The following is a 13,040-nucleotide window of genomic DNA, read 5'->3' on the forward strand; positions in this document are numbered from 1 at the left end:
AAATGTAGTTTATGTTTAATTTCTGAGTGTATAATTACTGTATGTAAACAGATAGTGTTGGGCAATCTTCCGAAGGGTACCAACTAGCTGTATAACCAGGTGCATGCTAACTAGTGGAATTAAAATTTTTCAGTGGCAGAGAATGTTGGCCAATTTATTTGGCATCTTAAGAGAGCATATGTTGGATTTCATTCTACAGGAAGGAACTCTAAAAATGCGTCTCAGATAATTCTGGTAGAATTGTTTTTTTTTTTTTTTTGAGACAGAGTCTCACTGTGTCGCCCAGGCTGGAGTGCAATGGCGTGAACTCAGCTCACTGCAACCTCTGCCTCCTGGGTTCAAGGAATTCTCCTGCCTCAGCCTCCTGAGTAGCTGGGATTACAGGTGTGTGCCACCACTCCTGGCTAATTTTTGTATTTTTAGTAGAGACGGGGTTTCACCGTGTTGGCCAGGCTGGTTTCGAACTCATGACCTCGTGATCCGCCTGCCTCGGCCTCCCAAAGTGCTGGGATTACAGGCATGAGCCATCGTGCCCGGCTCTGGTAGAATTGTTAAATCTTAAAAAGACTGTAGGTTTTTATCTGTGCTATCTTGGTAATTAAAAAAACCCAAAATTAACATGGTTTTATTAGCTGTTTCTGGGCTAAGTTTGGTGAAAGTATTTAAAGAAGTTATCAAAACTTTTTTTTAAAATTATTATTATACTTTAAATTCTAGGGTACATGTGCACAATGTGCAGGTTCGTTACATAGGTATACATGTGCCATGTTGGTTTGCTGTACCCATCAACTCATCATTTACATTAGGTATTTCTCCTAACGCTATCCCTCCCTCAGCCCCCCACCCTCCAACAGGCCCCGGTGTGTGATGTTCCCCTCCCTGTGTCCATGTGTTCTCATTGTTCAGCTCCCACTTATGAGTGAGAACATGTGGTGTTTGGTTTTCTGTCCTTGTGATTGTTTGCTGAAAATGCTGGTTTCCAGCTTCATCCATGTCCCTGTAAAGGACATGAACTCATCCTTTTTTTATGGCTGCATTATATTCCGTGATGTATATGTGCCACATTTTCTTTATCCAGTCTATTATTGTTGGTTTAAAGTCTGTTTTATCAGAGACCAGGATTGCAACCCCTGCTTTTTTTGCTTTCCATTTGCTTGGTAGATCTTCCTCCATCCCTTTATTTTGAGCCTATGTTTGTCTTTGCACATGAGATGGGTCTCCTGAATACAGCACACCGATGGGTCTTGACTCTGTCCAATTTGCCAGGCTGTGTCTTTTAGTCTTTTAATTGGGGCATTTAGCCCACTTACATTTAAGGTTAATTTTGTTGTGTGTGAATTTTTTTTTTTTTTGAGACGGAGTCTCACTCTATTGCCCAGGCTGGAGTGCAGTGATGCGATCGGTTCACTGCAACTTCCGCCTTCCAGGTTCAAGCGATTCTCCTGCCTCAGCCTCCTGAGTAGCTGGGATTACAGGCACCTGCCACCATACCCAGCTAATTTTTGTATTTTTAGTAGAGACAGGGTTTCACCGTGTTGGCCAGGCTGGTCTCAAACTCCTGACCTCAAATGATCCACCTGCCTCAACCTCCCGAAGTGCTGGAATTACAGGCATGAACCACTACACCCAGTCTGTTACATGTGAATTTGATTCTGTCATTATGATGCTAACTGGTAATTTTGCCCGTTCGTTAATGCAGTTTCTTCATAGTGTCGATGGTGTTTCACCATTTGGCCTGTTTTTGCAGTGGCTGGTACTGGTTGTTCCTTTCCATGTTTAGTGCTTCCTTCAGGAGCTCTTGTAAGGCAGGCCTGGTGGTGACAGAATCTCTCAGCATTTTCTTGTCTTTAAATGATTTTATTTCTCCTTCACTTATGAAGCTTAGTTTGGCTGGATATGAAATTCTGGGTTGAAAATTCTTTAAGAATGTTGAATATTGGCCCCCACTCTCTTCTGGCTTGTAGGGTTTCTGCCGAGAGATCTGCTGTTAGTCTGATAGCCTTCCCTTTGTGGGTAACCCAACCTTTCTCTCTGGCTGCCCTTAACATTTTTTCCTTAATTTCAACCTTGGTGAATCTGACAGTTATATGTCTTGGGGTCGCTCTTCTTGAGGAGTATATTTGTGGTGGTCTGTGTATTTCCTGAATTTGAATGTTGGCCTGCCCTGCTAGGTTGGGTAAGTTCTCCTGGATAATATCCTGAAGAGTGTTTCCTAACTTGGTTCCATTCTCCCTGTCACTTTCAGGTACACCAATCAAACGTAGATTTGGTCTTTTCACATAGTCTCATATTTCTTGGAGGCTTTGTTCGTTTCTTTTCACTCTTTTTTGCTCTAATCTTGTCTTCTCACTTTATTTCATTAATTTGATCTTCCATCACTGATATCCTTTTTTCCGCTTGATCGAATCGGCTATTGAAGCTTGTGTATGCTTCACGCAGTTCTCATACTGTGGTTTTCAGCTCCATCAGGTCATTTAAGCTCTTCTCTACATTGATTAGTTAGCCACTTGTCTAACTTTTTTCAAGGTTTTTAGCTTCCTTGCAATGAGTTAGAACATGCTCCTTTAGCTAGGAGAAGTTTGTTATTACCGATCTTCTGAATCCTGCTTCTGTCAACTTGTTGAACTCATTCTCTGTCCAGTTTTATTCCCTTGCTGGCAAGGAGTTGCGTTCCTTTGGAGGAGAAGAGACGTTCTGGTTTTTGGAATTTTCAGCCTTTCTGCTCTGGTTTCTCCCCATCTTTGTGGTTTTATCTACCTTTGGTCTTTGATGTTGGTGACATTTGGATGGGGTTTCTGTGTGGATATCCTTTTTGTTGATGTTGATGCTATTCCTTTCTGTTTGTTAGTTTTCTTTCTAACGGGCCCCTCAGCTGCAGGTCTGTTGGAGTTTGCTGGAGGTCCACTCCAGACCCTGTTTGTCTGGGTATCACCAGCAGAGGCTGCAGAACAGCAAATATTGCTGCCTGATCCTTCCTCTGGAAGCTTCGTTCCAGCGGGGCACCTGTCTGCATGAGGTGTCTGTCGGCCCCTACTGGGAGGTGTCTCCCAGTGAGGCTATACGGGGGTCAGGGACCCACTTGAGGAGGCAGTTTGTCTGTTATCGGATCTTGAATGCCATGCTGGGAGAACCACCTGCTCTCTTCAGAGCTGTCAGGCAGGGACGTTTAAGTCTGTAGAAGCCTTTTGTTCAGATATGCCCTGCCCCCAGAGGTGGAATCTAGAGAGGCAGCAGGCCTTGCTGAGCTGTGGTGGGCTTCACCCAGTTTGAGCTTCCCTGCCACTTTGTTTACACTGTGAGCATAGAACTGCCTACTCAAGCCTCAGCAATGGCCTACTCAAGCCTCAGCAATGGCGGACGCCCCTCCCCTAGCCAAGCTTCAGTGTCCTAGGTCGATCTCAGACTGCTGCGCTGGCAGCGAGCAAGGCTCCATGGGTGTGGGACTCACCGAGCCAGGCACGGGAGGGAATCTCCTGGTCTGCCAGTTGCAAAGACTGTGGGTAAAGCGTAGTATTTGGGCAGAAGTGTACCATTCCTTCAGGTACAATCACTCATGGCTTCCCTTGGCTAGGAAAGGGAAATCCTCCAACCCCTTGCGCTTCCTGGGTGAGGTGACGCCCTGCCCTACTTTGGCTCGCCCTCCATGGGCTGCACCCACTGTCCAACCAGTCCCAATAAGATGAACCCGGTATCTCAGTTGGAAATGGAGAAGTCACTCATCTTCTGCATTGATCTCGCTGGGAGCTGCAGACTAGAGCTGTTCCTATTTGGCCATCTTGGAAGCGATCTCAGCCTAAACTATCAAAACTGTTAATTTAAATTTCTGTTTTGAAATTTATATTTGGCTGTTTGACAAAGATTCTGATTTTGAAATACTATTTTTTTTTTTTTAATATCACACATCACAGAGTAGAAGGAAGCCTCTTTTGGAGGTTTAGCCAAATGTTCCTGAATAGCAGGTTTAAGTGTTCTCTCCTTAGTCTTGCAGCTCAGTGCCATCATTGGTAAGTGGCCATCCCCATTCTTGGCTTAGGTATAGTGACCACCTTTGTTTAATATTCGGTCAAAATTTATCAAACACTAAATGCCGCACAGTAGTCTAGGCACTGAGGATACAGAACATTAAGGGTCACAGACAACAAATAGTAGACATATATGTTATCAAGGTAATTTTAGGTAGTAATAAGTTCTGCAAAAGAAAGAAATAGGCTATGAAAATGGGAACTGGGATAGGTGGGATACTTTATTTAGATTGGGCTGGAAGGGTGTATCTAAGGAAGAGAGATCTTTCTTTTTTTTTTAAGAGATAAGGTCTCGCTCTGTCACCCAGGCCAGGGTGCAGTGGTGTGATCATAGCTCACTGCAGCCCCAAACTTCCGAGCTCAAGCATTCTTCCCACCTTGGCCTCCCAAAGTGCTGGGATTACAGGTGTGAGCTACTGTGCCAGCAGGGCCATTTGAAAAATGGAAAGGAGCCAGCCATTGGGAGAGCTAGGAAGAGCTTTTAACCAAAGTGCAGAGTGTCAAAGCAAAAGGCTAGTGGGGCTGGAGGGTGGTGAGAGTGTGATGTGAGGTTGGAGTGGCAGGCAGGGGTCAGTGACCTTGTGGGGAACGATAACATTCAGGTCTTATTCCAAGTGCAATAGCAATGACACAGTTCCATTCCTGTCATAAGTCAGTTACTCTGGCTGGAGAATGGTTTGAAGCGGGAAGGGTGCAGAATAGAAGCAGGTACCCCAGTTAGGAGGCTCCTAGGCCAGGTGAGAGATGAAATGATGTCATGGTCTGAGTGGGATTATATTTTGGAAGGGAGCCCAGAACACCTGTTGATGGAGTAGGTGTGAGAGTGAGAGAAATGGATTAATCAAGGTTGTCTCCTTTTTGATTTTAGGAACTGGATGGATTTTGTGAGATAGAGATGCCTTGTGGGAGGAGCAGGTTTAGTGAGAGGTGTTTGATAGAGCTCTGAGTGCAGGTGTTGAGTGTATAGTCTGGAGGTGAGGGGAGAGGCCTGGGCTGGGAAGAAGTTGGGAGTTGTAATAGCAGCGTCATTTAGAGCCATAGGATCGGATGAGCCCACTCCAGGAGAATGAGTGTGGATAGGCATAGAAGAGGACTCAGAACCAAGGCTGGCACATGCCGGTGTTCAGGGGCTGCCAGAGATGACAGAAACGGACACTGAGTTTGAGCATTTAGGGAGGGCAGAGGAAACATGGAGAGCCAAGTGGAAGGTGTTGCAGGAAGGTGGTTGTGGTCACTGTTACTGAAGGATACTGAAGGGTCAGTGGAATGAGGACAGGGCAGCAGCCATGAAGTGGAACATGGTGTAGGGAGGCGCTTGGCTCCAGAGACACACTGTCTGCCTACATCACTCAACAGGTTTGTAATTGTCCTAGTCCATTTGTGCTACTATAACAGAATACCTTAGACTGAGTAATTTTTAAGCAACAGATTTATTGCTCACAGTTCTAGAGGCTGGGAAATCCAAGATCAAAGCACCAGCAGATTCAGTGTCTGGCAAGGGCTTGCTCTCTGTTCCCAAGATGGCACCTTGTTGCCGTGTCCTCACTTGGCAGCAGGAGAAGAAGGGCAAAAACAGACTAGCCAGCCTCAAACCCTTTTATAATGGCACTGTTCCCATCCATGAGGGCATAGCCGTCTTGGCCTAATCACCTCCCAAAGGCCCCTCTTAATTGCTATCACCTTTGATGTTAATTTCCAGCATATGAATTTAGGAGGGACATATACATTCAAATCATGGCAGTGATCTAGGCCAAGTTATGGAACCTCTTTAAGTTCCAGTTTCTTCTGTAAAATGGATGTTAAAGACGGTGCCTGTTGTTGTAAGGATTAAGTGAGTCTATACGTGTGAGGATTAAGTGAGTCTATACGTGTGAGGATTAAGTGAGTCTATACGTGAAGCACACTTAGAATAGTATCTGGCCCAGAATAAATTGTAGCTATTCGCCGTTACTGTCACAGTGGCATCCGATGACCCCTGCTCAATAAAAGTAGAATAGAGAGAGGATTCCCCATCTCTGGATTTACCTGATGCCTCCCTTGCGCTTTCTTTCCTTCTCCATAGACACATAGCAGGTGGGACTGGTCCCAAGGTTTGGATTCTTGGTATAGGAAGCAAGTGGTTCCCACTTGAGGCATTTTGCCTGGATTCTGTTTTGGAAATGTTCATGTTTGGTTGGTCCTGAAGTCTTGTATAAATCCTACTTTGACATGTAATCTTTATTTTTGATTGTAGTAGTAGAAAAAATTAACCATAGTATAGTGAAAAAAGCACAGGTTTTATAGTCAAACAAACTTTGATTGTTTCTCAGCTCTGCCATTTATTAGCCATGTATCTTTGGGCAAGTTACCCAAGTTATCTCCTGTGTTAGTTAGGGTTCTCTAGAGAAACAGAACTAACTAATAGGATAGGTACAGATAGATGAGAGGGGATTTAGGAGGCTGAGAAGTCTCACCATCTGCCCTCCACATGCTGGAGAACTAGGGAAGCTGGTGGCATAGCTCAGTCCAAGTCTGAAGGCCTGAGAACCTGGGGGCCGCTGGTGCAAGTCCTGCAGTCTAACGGCTGGAGAATCTAGAGCTGTGATGTCCAAAGACAGGAGAAGATGGATATCTCGGCTCCAGGAGGGAGGGATGGGGCAGGAGGGGTGGGGGATGGGGGTGTGCGGAGGAGAGGGAGGGAGAGAGAGAAAGAGGGAGAAAGACAGGATTTGCTTTTTTGCTTTTCCTCTGCATTTTTTTTTCCTAGTTCTTTTCAGGCCTTCAACCTATTGGATGGTGGCCGCCGCCCCCCCCCCCCCCCCCCCCCCCCGCCCATATTGGGTGAGAATGGATCTTCCTTACTCAGTCTACTGATTCAAATGCCAGTCTCTTCCCAAAACACCCTCACAGCCATGCCCAGGAGTAATGTTTTAACAGCTGTCTGGGTATCTCTTAACCCAGTCAAGTTGAAACCTTAAACCAACCATTGCACCTCCTCTTTAACTACTTACTAAGTTGAAATGATAACATGCTAAAATTTCGCACCTTTCAAAATTGTCTGTAGGCTAGGCTGTTTTATGTTAAGGCCTTCTCATGGTTTATGGCACAGGGTAGGTCGCCCATGAATGATAGCTATTTCTGATAATCTTTGAGCTCTTCTGAATGCAGATCCTTTAAAAATATTTATATATTTATTTTCTATTTTCATTGTTAAAACTGTTACATTAAATCCAACAAAAATATTTCTAACGAATTTTAGTGCTGCAAGGGTTTTAGGACTTCAGATGCCCTTGATGTTCTGGAGAACTCTTTTGCCTTAAATGATGTTCCTGTTCCCTTCTTCTTAAGATTTGTCTGTTACCATTGTCTCTTGTTATGAGGATCCCTTCCTCTGGGAGCTGATTGAGTGGAGGCAGTTGTGGTAGTTCTCAGCCTTCAGCAGGAATTGTAAGAGGTCATTTGCTTCCCAGAAGAATTGTTACTCCACTGGAAATCAGCAGGAATATAAGAATGTAAGAAGAAATCAGATTTTTTTTTTTTTTTGAGACGGAGTTTTGCTTAGTCGCCCAGGCTGGAGTGCAATAGTGCGATCTTGGCTCACTGCAACCTCTGCCTCCCGGGTTCAAGCGATTCTCCCGCCTCAGCATCCCGAGTAGCCGGGATTACAGGCACCCGCCATCATGCCTGGCTAAGAAATCAGATTTTAAAAGAAGATAGGAATTTGTTTTTATGAGTCAGGGTGCTACCTGTTTTGTTCTGGTTTAAGATCACATTACCTTATTTCTACTTAGTATTGCCTTTTTTTTGGATTTGTATTACTTGTTGGTTAGAATTCAGTAGTACTGAAGGAAGGGCCCTTTTGTGATCCTTGCTGAATGCCCAGTGCGTAGTGGGCACTCCATAGATGTTAGTTGAAAGACAGAAAATAATGAGCTGGAGGATGGTAGTGTAGGCATGCCCTAGTCATTAACTTTTCTGGTCATCTTTGATCTGAGTGTGCTGTTGTGTATGTGAAAGAAAATAACACAAACGTCTTTAAAACTTTTGAGAGTCTGTTCTAAATAGCTGTCTCGAATGCCTTATCTTTTTGTTCTTTTTTCAGATTATTAGACTATTGTTGATTTTATAGAATTTTCATATAAGTACATTTTAAAAATGGAAATAATTAAAAATATTGTTGCAAAAGTGTTTTCTAAAAAAATAAGAATTAAGGTAGTAAAAGAGCACCCAAGAATGTAGGAGATAGAAGATAAAAGCCAAATACATAGTACTCTGCTTCCCACTTTCTCTGCAAGCTTTATTTGGGTAGATATAACCTGATTGGGTAAGGCTCTAAATAAAAATAGTATTTCAAGCCCAGTGGAAATCTTTTACTCTTGGAAAAATACAGTGTATATATTTTAAAAACTTTTTAACAATATAATTTATCAATAAATTTTATTTCCTACAGGTATAATGTGAATACAGATTTTTATTGGTTTCAAAAGTTTATATTAAATTGACAGTCCTATGAGGGAAGGATATAGCTTGGTATTTCTCCAAGTGTATCATTTATAAAGACCTACGTAAATAGCTTACAGTAATTGTGCCCTAATTATTTAGAAATTGTGTTACTAAATGTGTTTTAAATTCATGCATCAGATATCACATCCTGTCTTGTTCAGGGGCCTTAAGGAAATTATCAAACACAATGCAGTCATCTTATTTAAAAGGTATTTACATTGTAAATAGACCGGAAGCAAGTAACCTAGCAAGATATCTGCCTAGTGTCCAGCAGCCTTGCAGGAGTTAAAAGCAAAATTTATCAGACATCAATAGTTTATTGAAGAAATAGTCCTTTTTGCTTCATAATTTGCAGAAGGCTGCAACTGTCAGTCATGATGTACTGCCTCTTGAAATTAGTCAATAGAGCAAACAGCAAGAATTGCTGTGGGCAGAAAATAAGCACTGTAATCATGACATAACTGGGGTCAGTGATTTATGGATTTCAATATAGTAGTAGCTGCATATGATTGAAAATTTACTAGGTCACTAGTGCACCAAAAATTTTATTCACAGCCTCCAGGCATCTTTTGAAATGTGCAACAAAATAAAAACCTCTGAACCTGTTTTGACACTGCAAACTCAGTGGATGACATGCCAGCCCAGTGAGTCTCATTTAAATGTAAATGTGTCATAAACTTTTGTACCATGCTCTTTAAAAAATGCCAGCTACTTGAAGGGATAATGCATGTGAAACTGATTTACATATTAAAGTAGTGAAAAAGGACCTTGTAATAATCAAGCTTGAATTCTTTTATTTTAAAGTTGGAAGCTGAAGGTGTTCCTGAAGTATCTGAAAAATATGAAATTAGCTCTGTTCCCACTTTTCTGTTTTTCAAGGTAAGGATAAAGGTGGTACAAGAGATTATCCATTTGTAGGGTGCCATGGGGCTACCTATTTTGTTTCTTTACCCTCTCTCTAATCCCCGAATATTAGGTGTTTGGCTGTTTCTGGCCCTCCACCTTTCTTCTGATAGTCTCATTTTTGCACCGATGCTGAGAAAGAAGACCATGCCAGCTGCTTGCCAGCATCTTAGAAAAGTAGCATGGACTGTGTAGGGCCAGCAGCCAGAATCAGAGCTTCTTGATCAAAATTCAGATATGTGGCTGTGGAACCCCAGTGTTCCCTGAGTTGGTTAAATTGGTTGTTTAGAGCATGTGCCTGGACATAATGGAATCTCTGGCTGGTTCTGGTTTGATGAATGACTTTTAGGAAGCAGGTGCACACCTGTGCTTCCAGGCACCCATGGGTGTCATCGTAGTTCCCCAAATACCTCATTTATACTTAGTAATAGATTCATTCCAGCCAATGTGGGGGCAGTCTTTTTTGTATTATGTTAGACTGACCTGATTTGACTTTGAGATGTTGCAGTGTTTTCTCAGTGTGTTTCTGAGAAAAGAAAAAAATTATGTATTTCTAAAATTGAGATGCAGTGCAGGCAATTGGCAATGAGGGTTTCTTTTTTTACATCTCCGGTAATACTGTTGTCCCCTTTAAAAATCTGCTATAACAATGTCATTATTATGGAATGCTGCATGTATTCTAAATAACTTTTTAAACTTTAGAATTCTCAGAAAATCGACCGATTAGATGGTGCACATGCCCCAGAGTTGACCAAAAAAGTTCAGCGACATGCATCTAGTGGCTCCTTCCTACCCAGCGCTAATGAACATCTTAAAGAAGATCTCAACCTTCGCTTGAAGAAATTGACTCATGCTGCCCCCTGCATGCTGTTTATGAAAGGAACTCCTCAAGAACCACGCTGTGGTAAGAAGCTGCCTTTAACATAATATAAACAAAATGGGTGCTTTCCCAGAATGGGGTATGGTTGAGATGGGCATCCTGTTTCCAAGGATGCTATACCATACATCTTATACTTGTGTTCACATACTTTTAGAAAATCAAAAAGGTTATAATTCCCAATGACACTATATAAGAATTAGTTTGCATTATGGACTCAGCATGTTGGAACCAAAAGGGGTCTCAGAACTCATCTAATTCAGATTTTTGTTTTATACTGAAGTCCTCAGACTCAAAGATAGAGGTGACTTGCCCAAGGTCACCTGGTAAGCAGAGTTAGGATTAGGTTCCAACTACCATATTGCTGTCTCTTTTGCCTGTTTATCTACTTTTGCTGTTAACAGTTATTTTTTCTTTCTTGGCAGCCTCCTGTTTTTCACCTAGTTCAGATTCAGCAATTAAAAAATTTGCGGAATTTTTCAGTGTTTTTGTGTCCAGCCTGTGTGCTTTTGCCTCCCCTGTGTCATCACTGTCTAATGATTCTCTTCCTGCATTGCTGTCATTTCCAGTTTATAGCTGCTGGTAATGGAAAGATTCCGAATTCTTGGCTTGTAGTCACTCTTATTTTCTGTACACATGGATGCTTATAATTTTGTCCTTAAGTAAGTTTTAGAGTTATTTGACCCCTCTGGTAGTGGGTTTATGTTATTTTCTTTTTACTGTGCCTAGTACAACATTAGTATGCTGCATAATTGAGCATTTAATGCCATTTGATGATGCTGTTGAGACTCTAAGAGTATTTGTATCAACTACACAGGAGGGACTTTATTAAGATAGGGGCAGTAACATTGAGTATGCTCTTGATATGATTACAGCATGTCCAGAGTGACTTTATAAAGATAGCCAAGCTTCTAGTGTGAATTTGATTCTAAATTCTTCCCTGTAGGGTTATTAAATTACATATTAGCTTATGATAATGTCTAGTTTTAAAAATAAAGTTTCATGATGAATTCTTATTTTTTCGAGATGGAATTTCGCTCTTGTTGCCCAGGTTGGAGTGCAATGGCACGATCTCAGTGCGACGGAACCTCTGTCTACTAGGGGTCAAGCGATTCTCCTGTCTCAGCCTCCCGAGTAGCTGGGATTACAGGTGTCCACCACCATGCCCGGCTAATTTTTTTGTATTTTTAGTAGAGATAGGGTTTGTCCATGTTGGTCAGGCTGGTGTCAAACTCCTGACCTCAGGTGATCCGCCTGCCTTGGCCTCCCAAAGTGCTGCTGGGATTATAGGCGTGAGCCACCATGAATTCTGTCTTAAAAGTATCTCTTAGTTCTGCCTAAAAAATTTCCCTGCCAGTATTTATGTGTCAGATAATGCCTGCTATTTGTGTATTGCAAAGCTAACTTAGTCTGTACTAAACTAAAGGTAGCAACAGATAGTCTCTGTTGCGTTTGTTATTTTGTTTTTAACGGGGGTTGCAAATGGTTCACATTCACCTTCTTCCATGAAACATGAAAATTATTTCTTGTACTTTGTGCGGTGGCCACTAAATGGGAACTTACCACTTCAGTTGAATGGATTGTATTCAGCACCTTCATTCAGATCTCAGGTACAGTAGAACTGGCTGTGAAATGTGGGTGAAGCACACCTACAGTGAAATCTCTACAGTATTCTCTCCTTTGGGGTTGAACAGCAGCAGTCTCAGTCTTTTCTGAATGATAAACCTAATGAAAAGGCAGGTGGCAACACTGAAGCTTGGGGAAGGAGTGCTCAGAGGAGAAGGATGTCCTGGGAAGTGTGCTGCACTGGGTGTCATGCCAGGCGAGCCTCAGGCCCACCCCTGCGGCCTTAGCAACTTTGGGGACAAGTCAGGTACCCTCCTTGTGCCTTTAATTCCTTCTAGTGCTGTTGGGAACAAGATTGGCTGTTGGAGCCAATCTTGGAGGGCCTTTTCAGTGTAGATATTGTATGATTATTCAAGTAAATTAGAGAGAAACTTAGACATTTTAATTTTTCTGCTTACCTTTTACTTTATTAAACTGAATTTAAAATATACTGCTAGCATTTTTATATTTATATTAAACTTATTTAAATTATGTTTATTATAATGGAGTGAGATTTGGAAGACTGTACAAATAACAGAATAAAAAAGAAGCTTTGAAATATTTCAGGGCTGGGCGTGGTGGCTCATGCCTGTAATCCCAGCACATTGGGAGGCTGAGGTGGGCGGATCGCTTGAGATCAGGAGTTCGAGACCAGCCTGGCCAACATGGCGAAACCCCGTCTCTACTAAAAATACAAAAATTAGCTGGGCATGGTGGAGTCCTGTAATTCCAGCCACTTGGGAGGCTGAGGCAGGAGAATTGCTTGAACCTGGGAGGCAGAGGTTGCAGTGAGCCGAGATCGAGCCACTGCACTCCAGTATGGGTGACAGAGTGAAACTCTGTCTCAAAACAAAACAAAACACATTTCAGAGCCATCTGAAAACGTAGTATTATAGTTATTTAATTAATAAAAGACAATAAATATTTTGAGATACATATGGTTGAATGGTTACAGTTTCTTCTTTTAAAGTACTTCTATATAATTTTTATAACTACATTTTCAGTGGGTTTTTCTGTTTCCTGATATTTTCTGTTTCATGTCTTTCTGTCACATATAGTAAATAGATCATTTAAGAATGTTGCTGTTCTTTAATAAAATACTTAGGATTAATTGGAAAATATTTTTAAACTGTTTTCTTATGGGAACATAA

General features: G+C 42.0%; 1 protein-coding gene across 3 annotated transcripts in view; it reads left to right on the forward strand.

Annotated features, from left to right (window-relative positions):
- Nucleotides 1–13,040, forward strand: part of GLRX3 (glutaredoxin 3) — a 43,987-nt gene that overhangs the window by 14,296 nt on the left and 16,651 nt on the right. For 2 of the 3 annotated variants that reach the window (NM_001199868.2, NM_006541.5), the window contains exons 3-4: nucleotides 9,309–9,383; nucleotides 10,110–10,311. In NM_001199868.2, the coding sequence (NP_001186797.1) occupies nucleotides 9,309–9,383; nucleotides 10,110–10,311 (277 nt within the window). Of the gene's footprint in view, nucleotides 1–9,059; nucleotides 9,149–9,308; nucleotides 9,384–10,109; nucleotides 10,312–13,040 lie in introns of all 3 variants that reach the window. The other variant, NM_001321980.2, reaches the window with a different exon arrangement.

This window comes from Homo sapiens, chromosome 10, assembly GCF_000001405.40.
Source record: "Homo sapiens chromosome 10, GRCh38.p14 Primary Assembly".
Lineage (NCBI taxonomy): Eukaryota > Metazoa > Chordata > Mammalia > Primates > Hominidae > Homo > Homo sapiens.